General features: G+C 39.9%; 2 pseudogenes; one reads left to right on the top strand and one right to left on the bottom strand.

Moving 5' to 3' along the window:
* Nucleotides 8,295-8,991, bottom strand: GARS1P1 (glycyl-tRNA synthetase 1 pseudogene 1; annotated as a pseudogene).
* Nucleotides 9,151-9,251, top strand: RNU6-1249P (RNA, U6 small nuclear 1249, pseudogene; annotated as a pseudogene).

Raw genomic sequence — 9,942 nt, forward strand, 5'->3', positions numbered from 1 at the left:
CCCTCCAGCCTGGGTGACAGAGCTAGACTGTCTCAAAAAAAAAAAAAAAAAAAGATTTTCTATCACTGGTTTTAAGCCTGATGTTTATGATATTTTATGGTTTACTTTTTTTGTGCTTTGGATTCATTGAGCTCCTTAAATCTGTGGGTTTATAGTGTTCATTACATTTGGAAAAAAATTACACTTTTTTGCTTCAAAAATTTTTTTCCTATTTATTCCTCTCTCTCTTCTCCTTCAGCAATTCTAATTACATCTTATTAGGCCTCTTGAAGTTGTCCCACAGCTTGCTAATGTTCTATTTATTTTTTGTCTGCCGTGCATGCACGCGCGCGCGTGTGTTTGTGTGTGTGTGTACTTCATTTTGGATAGTTGCTATTGTTGTATCTTCAGTTTACTGGTATTTTCTTTCACAATGTGTAATCTGTTATTAATTCCATATAGTACATTTTTAATCTCAGAAATTGTTGTTTTCATCTCTAGAAGATTAATTTGGGTCTTTTGGAAAATATTTTTTATATATCTACAAAACATGATTAGTTTTACACCTATCATCTTGAACACATTAAATATCATTAACAATTATTATTCTAATGTCTTTTTATACTAATTTTATTATCTTTTTCTTTTCTGGGTCTGTTTCTATTGATTAATTTTTTTTCTTTTTTAAAATTATACTTAAAGCTCTGGGGTACATGTGCAGAACGTGCAGTTTTGTTACATAGGTATACACGTGGCATGGTGATTTGCTGCACCCATCAACCCATCACCTACGTTAGGTATTTCTCCTAATGTTATCCTTCCCCTAGCCCCCCCACCCCCTGACAGGCCCCGGTGTGTGATGTTTCCCTCCCTATGTCCATGTGTTCTCATTGTTCAACTTCCACTTATGAGTGAGAACATGCAGTGTTTGGTTTTCTGTTCTTGTGACAGTTTGCTGAGAATGATGGTTTAATTTTTGTCCTTAGCATAGGCCATTTTTTCTTGCTTCTTTGCATGCCTGGTAATTTTTGATTGTATACCAGACATTGTGTAATTGTTGGGTGCTGGTTATCTTTATATTCTATATCTTGTATCTTATATTTTTATATTCTAGTAAATATTTTTACCTGGTTTTGGAACACAGTTACATTATTAGCAAGTAGTTTGATCTTTCTGAGGCTTGCTTTTAAGCATTTTAAGGTAGGACTAGACTGGCCTTTGATCCTGAACTAAATTTTCCCTTTACTGAGGCAATGCCTTTCTGAATGCTCCACCTAATGGACTATGAATTACAAGGTGTTCTACTCTGCCTGGTGAGAACATGGACTATTCTTGGATTTGTGAGCCCTAGCAGTGGTTACTTGTGCTCTTTTTTGGATGTTCCTTCCATAGTCTCATACAGTTTTCTCACATGCATGCACCTGTCAATATGCAGCTGAACATTTGAGGGGGACCTTTTGAATATTTCTGGAGCTCAATCTTTTTCTCTGCGTGCATAATTTCTCTCCAGGGACCTGTCTTGCAAATTCTAGCCACCTTTGCCTTCTCAGACGCCGAGCTCTCTCTCCTCAATTCAGGGTGACAGCTGGGCTCTGCGTGGGTGCTACACCCCTGCAGTGTTGCCTGGACAGAAGTATCTGTTCGGGCAGTAAACTAGGGCAACAGTGATTACCTTGTTTGTTTCTCTGAGTTTCAAGTATCTCTGCCCTATAGTGCCTGATGTCTACTGCTTGAAAACCACTGTTACATGTTTGTTTTTTTTGGTTGTTTAGTGAAAGAGTAAATCCAATCACCTGTTACTCCATCTTGGTTATATGTAAAACTCCTGTTGTTCTATTTTTGTGATAAAATTTAAGTTCCAGGCCATGCGTGGTGGCCCGGGCTCATACCTGTAATCCCAGCACTTTGGGAGGCTGAGACGGGTAGATGACTTTGAGGCCAGGAGTTTGAGACCAGACTGGCCAACATGGCAAAACCCCATCTCTACTAAAAATACAAAAATTAGCCAGGCATGGTGATGTGTGCTTGTAAGCCCAGCTACTCGGGAGGCTGAGGCAGGAGAATTGTTTTAACCTGGGAGGCAGAGGTTTCAGTGAGCTGAGATTGTGCCACTACACTCCAGCCTGGGCAACAGAGCGAGACGCTGTCTCAAAAACAAAACAAAACAAAACGAAACAAAACACAATTTAAGTTCCTTGGCTCTGAACCACTGACTTCTACTTCGGAATGCTTACATAGGCTGCTTTAGGTGGCAGCATTAGGCATCATGTCATCATTCCTAACTTTACAAAAGCTATTATGAGGATCCTTATTTCTAGCATGTGTAAAGTAGTCCCATTCCTACCTCAACAGATGTTTGATGAGTGCTAGATCCCTGATACTTGGGATGAAACGGTGAAGAAGATAGATAAAACCCTTTCCTTTAAAAAGAAAAATTTAAATAAATAATACGGGCCGGGTGCAGTGGCTCATGCCTGTAATCCCAGTACTTTGGGAGGCTGAGGTGGGCGCATCACGAGGTCAGGAGTTCGAGACCAGCCTGACCAACATGGTGAAACCCCATCTCTACTAAAAATACAAAAAATTAGCCAGGCATGGTGGCATGTACTTAGAGTCCCAGCTACTCAGGAGGCTGAGGCAGGAGAATTGCTAGAACACGGGAGGTGGAGGTTGTAGTTAGCCGAGATCGCACCACTGCACTCCAGCTTGGGCGACAGAGTGAGGCTCCGTCTCAAAAAAAAAAAAAATTATAAATAAATAATACGATAGCTCCCTATCAGTACTTTTTTACATTATTTATTATTCTTTGCCACCTGATATACCATATGTCCATCAGTTTATTTTTTGGTTTTACTCCAGGGAAATCGTAAGCTCCGTGAGAATAAGGACTTTATTTTCTTTCATTTCAAGTGGTTGTTTAACATACAGATTTTTGACCCCTTCCTCAGATTTATGGATACTGAATTTCTGAGGGTGGGACCTGAAAATTAAAAATTTGAGCAATATTCCCAGATAATTTGTGCTGACTCTGTGGTTGGTGAACCACTGGTTTAGGGTATAGTAAAGGTTGAAAGGAAATTTAGTCATAAGCTGAGTAATGACCTTTTGGCCAACGATCAACAGCGTATATAGTGGTCCTGTAAGATTATGATATCGTATTTTTACTGTACCTTTCCTATGTTTAGATACACAAATACTATTGTGTTACATTTGCCTACAGTATTTGGTACAGGTTTGTAGCGTAGGAGCAATAGACTATACGATATGGTCTAGGTGTGTAGGAGGCTATGCCATCTAGGTTTGTGTAAGTTCAATCTATGCTGTTTGCACAACAGTGAAATCCCCTAATGATGCATTTCTCAGAATGTATCCCTGTCGTTAAGCGACACATGACTGTAGTTATTTAAATGAAACTGAATGATGTGAGTGTGTGTGTGTGTGAGTGCACACAGGTGTGCATGTGGGTTTGGGTGTGGATTTAATGCTGAAGGGTTAGTATTTCCAGGAGAGGGAGCGGCGTAAGCTCTAGTTAGTAAGGAACTATTTTAGGAAGTATTTTTAGCTGGAGAGGGATATGATTAGGTCTACATTTTTAAAAAGATCGCTCTGGCTGTAGTGAGGTAGTTTTATTTGTCTAAAAACTTCTGCCTTGTAGCTGAGAGGTACCATATGCAGAGAAGAGATCATGTGCTGGGGATCAAACAGAGCAGACACAGATTCTCACTAGCTGTGTGACTGACAAAAAGCACATAACTTCTCTGAGTCTTACTTTCCACATGTGTAAAGTGGGGAGAGCAATACATTTCTTATTGGATTTTCTAAGGGATTGACTGGCTTACTTTAGTAAAACACCTTGTACATAACAGACCTGGGAATAATGCTAGTTTCTGATGGTACTCATTCTCAAGGTGCTGTTGCCCTTCAGAAGAAAACCAGAAAAACACAGCCAACACTGGCATCTCAGATCAGTGTTGGCAAGTTGTGAAACCAGCCACAGGTTGGAGAAGTCCTGCACAATGGGTGGGTGTGTGTGGGTGGTGAGACTGTGAGTAGGATGGATCTTCTAGAGGCAGTGTCAGAAAAAGGAGAAGAAAGTGCTATGACCAGTTCTTGCTGAAAAAAAGACATGAGGCCAGATGTGGCGGCTCACGCCTGTAATTCCAGCACTTTGGGAGACTAAGGCAGGAGGATTGCTTGAGCCCAGGTATTTGAGACCAGCCTAAGAAGCATAGTAAGATCCTGTCTCTACAAATAATTTAAAAAATTAACCAGGAGAGGTGGCATGCACCTATAGTCCCAGCTATTTGGGAGCCTGAGGTGGGATGGTTGCCTGAGCCTGGGAGGTCAAGGCTTCACTGAGCCATGATCGCACCACTGCACTCCAGCTTGGGCAGCAGAGACAGGGCACCACCCTGTCTCCAAAAAAAAAAAAAAAAAAAAAAAGAAGACATGAATAATTTATACACAGACAGTGTTTATCATCAGGGACTGCTGAGACTGGCAGCCAACTATTCAATAAGACCTTTCTCAAAGACCAGTACAGATCACTTTAGTTCCAGCAATGAAGTTTTCCAAGTATTTCATCAGATTTCCCTCTTCCCTGGTTATACATTGCTCTTGAATGAGAATAAAACCATTAAGAACATTCTGTGCTTTCTCTTCTCTTTTCTTCTTTTCCCATTCCTGTCCTTCCTTCTTTCTTTTTCTTCCTAACTTCTATCTTAAACAATTAGCCTCTAAGAGTTGGACCTGTTTTACATTTTCCTCTTACTGGAAGTGAATGATGATTTGAGCAGAGATCTATGTTACCAAGTCAGCATCATGTTCTTCCCTCCCACACAACCCACTGCTGTGTGTAATCATCTCTCATTAAGTTTCATGTCATCTGAGTGCAACTCCTTTCCCCTTTCAGGTTGCCCTTAATGTTCATTGTACCCTGCTTTCAACTGGATAGAATTTATGGGGTGAAATCCAGGGTAAACCATGCTTTGCTGAAACATTATTTCATTCAATAAATACAAATGAACAACTGACCACACACAGTCATACACACACAATCTTGAGTACCTACTGTGTGCCTGGCAATGTTAATACCAAATACATATTGGTGAATAAAACAACCAGAATCCATGTATTTGTGGGAGAGGCAGACAAAACACACACATACGTATATGTATATAATAAGAAATGGTGATAAGTTTCATAAAGGAAATAAACAGGGCACATTAACAGAGAATAACAAGGGGAGAGGGAAGAAGCTTATTTGGCTTGGCCCTGGAGGCATCTGTGAAGATAGGAAATTGCAGAAGGAGGTGGGTCAACCATGCAGAAAGGAGGGATCAATGCACTTAAGACAGAAGGAACAGTATGAGTGAAGGTCCTGAGGCAGGAAAGAGCTTTGTGTGATGAACTGAAAGGAGACCAGTGTGGCTTGGGCATCAGGTGTAAAAGGCAAGAGTGGCCCAAGATGAAGCTATACAAGGATTAGATTATGCTGATCTTTGTAGACTCTGGGTAAGAATTATGAGTTCTATTTTAAGCGCATTAGGTAGACTTTGAAAAGTCTTGTGAAAAGCATGTGATTATCTGATTGTTATTTTAGAAAGATTTCCTCCAGCTTCTCTGTGGAAAATGAATCGGAGGAGCAAAGCAAAATACAGGAAGCCCAGTGCAGAGGCTATCACAATGGTCCAGGAGAGAGATGGTAGTGGCGTGAACCAAGATGGTAGAAATAGCTATAAGAAAATGAGCATATATCATGCTTATTTCGGAAGCAAAAATGAAGGCATATATTTGGGGTTGAAAGACGGTGATGAAGGATGACTTACAATTTCTAGCCATTTATTGAGTGGAGGAAAGGCCAAAGAGGGGTGGTTTGGTGGTGAAATCAATAGCTTCATTTTGAAAACGTTAAGTTTGAGATTCTGGGAGATATGCAAGAATACATATCAAGTAGGTAGTTAATTTATAAATCTGAAGTTTAGAGAGGAACTCAAGGTAGTGATTACAAATTATAGCTCCATCAGGTATTATATAGATGGTATGTCAGTGGGAGATCAATTAAGATTTTTAAAATGAGGCACCCAAATATAGTGGATCAAACAAGGCACAAGTTTCTTTATCATTCATGTCATAGTTCAGAGATAGGTGGGTGATCTAGTTAGACAGCTCCACTCCACAAGGTCATTCAGGGATTCACGGCACTTTTATTTGTCATCCCTTGAATATTATTTTTCTCTGTATGGTGGAAATTGGTTCATTAGCACCAAGACCACATCCTATCATTCAGAAATAGGGAAAAAGGTGCACCTTCTTTTTAAGGAAACGACCCAGGGGTAACACATGTTATTTAGCTGCAAGAGAGGCTGTAACATAGAGTCTATAAACTGGATGGCCATATGCTACCTGATGAAATGTCAATTCCATTACTAAAAAGAAGGGGAGAATGGATACCAGAAGACAAGACATACTGTCTGCCACAGACAGTAAAAAGGCAAAGCCTGCATGGGCAGGGTTTCTCAATGTACCAGCAGCACTTTGGAACAGATAATTCTTAGTTGTGGGAGGCTGTGCTGTGCATTTTAGGATTGTATACTCACCATCAATGTTTAGTAGTATTTCCAGCCTCTGTCCTTTAGATGCCAGTGACATACTCCCAGTTGTCACAGTAAAACATGTCTCTAGTCATTGGCAAATGTCCTCTAGGGGGCAAAATCACACCCTGTTGAGAACGACTGGGTTATATCAGGAGAACGAGTATAGAAAAAGAAGGAGTGCTGCCACTGGGGTTTGAGAAGTGCCAACATTTAAAGATTGGGTAGAAGAGGAGTAAAGGAGACAGGCAAGGAGTAGGCAATGGTATATAATGAAAACCAAGACTGAAGAGTGTCACAAAAGCCAATATAGGAGGGAGTTCCAAAATGGTAGGAGTGATTGACTATGTGGAATGCTACTATGGAATCAACTGAAACGAGGGCAGAAATGTGCTCATAGGATTTGGTAACATGGAGATTACAGGTGACACAGACAAGAGTAATTGCTGTGTAGTAGTGGAGGTGAAACTCAGCTTGTAGTGAGTAAGAGTAAGTGGAAAATGAATAAGTGGACATAATGTTTGTAGACAACCCTAAACAATGAAAAAGTACAGAGAAATGGAGAAGCATCTGGAGGGTTATGAGAGTTCAAAAGGGGTGTGGTTTTGTTTTTAATGAGAGATACTAGGAGGTGTTTGTATGAGCCGAAGGAAATAATCCAGTACACAAGAGTGCCACCATCCAAACATGTAAAGTGCTTGGAACTGCATTTAACAAGTAAACTGTATATTAAATATTAATATTACTCTATGAATTAGAGATTAAGTGGGCAATTGTGCTTTTAGACCCTGCTACAGATAGAACATTTTTGTCCCCCTCCAAATTCCTATGTTGAAATCTTAACCCCCAAGGTTAAGATTTTTTTCTTTTCAGAATTCCTTCAATTTTGATTGTGGGGATAAAATCAGACAGCCACTGAAGATAGAATACAGTTACTGGGAGTAATCACAATGCTGTTCTCTTTTATAAAGTGGATATGATGTGTTATTTATTCAATTAATGCACGTCGCCAAAAATTGTCCTTATTCCTTGATTGTCTCTTTTTTTTACCAGTCTCTTGTTGAAGTGGCCTCATTGTCTGGGAAAATACTTGAGGTTTGTTGTCTCACAGCCATGGAGATCAAGGATGCGGACACACAATGAGTGAGGTTAAGAGCGGAAATTTAATTGGGAAAAGAAAAAGAATAGCTCTCTGCTACACAGAGTAGTCCTGAAAAAATAGGTTGCTGGTCCACAGCAAAATGCAGGGGTTTTTATAGATGAGCTAGTGGGGAGGTGGTGTCTGATTTACATAGGGTGCAAAAATCTGGTTAGGACCAGGTGTGCCATTTGCCTATGGCACAAATCTCTGGCCGCCCCCATGCCAATCTTCTATTATGCAAGTGGGTTCCCTGCCTGAGCTGTGCCATGTTGCCCATTTTTTTCTTACTGTACATGTGCTAACAAAAAAGGGAAGATGGAGCTTCCATGGTGCACACGCCTAGCCCCCAGGTAGCCCTTTCTTATTGGTACAGCTGCTGGCATTCCCCTGTGCAAGCTTCCAGCTTGCTTATCTATATTTGCAGCTTGATTTTTCAGGCTGCTCTTTGTTGGGAAAGAAATGATTTTTTGGGCTGCTTTTTGTTTGAAGGGAAGCTCTGCTAAGGACTCGTTTGCCCTCACTATCTGCCTAAATAATTTCTTTCTAACTAAATCTGCCTAAATAATTTCTTTCTACCTCCTGTATCATTGCTCTGCAAAGAGAGGATACCTGGCCACCACATTGGCCCATATGATGCTGCCACTGGTCAGATCTCGGACTATGCTAGGCAGCTCAGAGACCTCTGCTGTTATCTGTCACATTGCATCTCAGTCTCTCAGAGTTGCATTGTGGGGGGTCTTGTTCATTGTGTTAAAGTCAATGGTGACACTGAAAGACACACCAATCTCATCAGTCCTGGCATAGTGTCTCCCAATTGACCCAGAGGAATCATCTACTTTGTGAGACAACCTGTGCCTGGTCAGGGCTTCCGATAATTCCTTGATAAATGGCATGAATGGTTTTGGCTCAGTGAGAGGGCGTAACATTTGAATAGAGTGACTATAGCAGGGAAACTGAGGAATGTTCTCTGTTCATCTCCTTCTCTTACATGGAATATATGTTCAAATACCATATACATAATCCTGCACAGGCTGAAGGAGGGTTCAGTTACATTCAGAACAACTTCTTCCACACAGAGTGTTCTCTGGAATCTCATCACGTTTGGCCACATCTTTTGTTAGCCGAAATGTTTTCCCTTCGGGTTCAATTGTAAATTCCCCTTTCTCATTCAATTGCATCTCAATTTCTGTAATGTAACATTCATCACAATTGGCGAGATACTCCATCATCAGTTTTGCATGCTTCTTATACGCCTTACCAACTGCTCCCTTATTGGGTATTAGGTAGACAGCTTCATATTCCTTCCCTGTGAATTGAGACTCTGCACTCAAACAAACGTCATGGTTATTTACATATTTTGGATACTAACCTATTATTTGTCATACACATTGCAAACATCTTTTCTGGTCTCTCACTCATGTGTTAACTTTATGTTTTGTGCTCACTTTTGCAGCACATACACTAAAATTGGAACGATACAGAGAAGATTAGCATGGCCCCTGTCTGTGCAAGGATGATATGCAAATTTGTGAAGTGTTAACTTTATGTTTTATTTTGTCATTCTAACATTTTCTTTTTGTCATGTAGTCAAATATATCAAACCTTTTGTTTAATATTTTTAGGCATATTCTATTCAAAAAGTTTTTCTTTATGGGTTTTGGTTTTTTATGTCTTCCTCTCCCAATGTCACAAAGATATTTCCCCTAATTTAGAATCTTTTCTAAATGTTTAAAAAGTTTGCTTTTCAGATTAATGTTTTAAATTCATATGGAATTCACTTTTTTTTGTATATGGCTTGACACAAGGATGTATCCACTTTTATTAACTTCCAAATGGATAGCCAAGTGTCCCACACCATTGACTGACTAGTCTTTCCTTTTCCCACTGATTTGTAACACTGCTAAATCTCCATATGTGTGTAGTTTGGATATTGGTTCATTTGTCTATTGCCATGCCAATATGACAGTGTTCTAGTTATTGTGATTTAAAAGAAGTCTTGATGCTTAGTCAGGCAAATCCTACTCCTTGTTTATCTTCTTCCCAATATTCATGTTTCTTCTTGTTCCCTTATTCTTCTATGTGAATTTTAGAACTAGCCTGTTAATGCCGTGAAGAAAACCTTTGGACTAACATTTATGTGATATAAAATGTTTTAATCCGTTCATTTTAAATCTTTCTGTGTCCTTACTTTCAGGCCTGTCCTTTGTAAACAAAATCTATTGGGATAGA

Source organism: Homo sapiens, chromosome 17 (assembly GCF_000001405.40).
Source record: "Homo sapiens chromosome 17, GRCh38.p14 Primary Assembly".
NCBI classification, from domain to species: domain Eukaryota; kingdom Metazoa; phylum Chordata; class Mammalia; order Primates; family Hominidae; genus Homo; species Homo sapiens.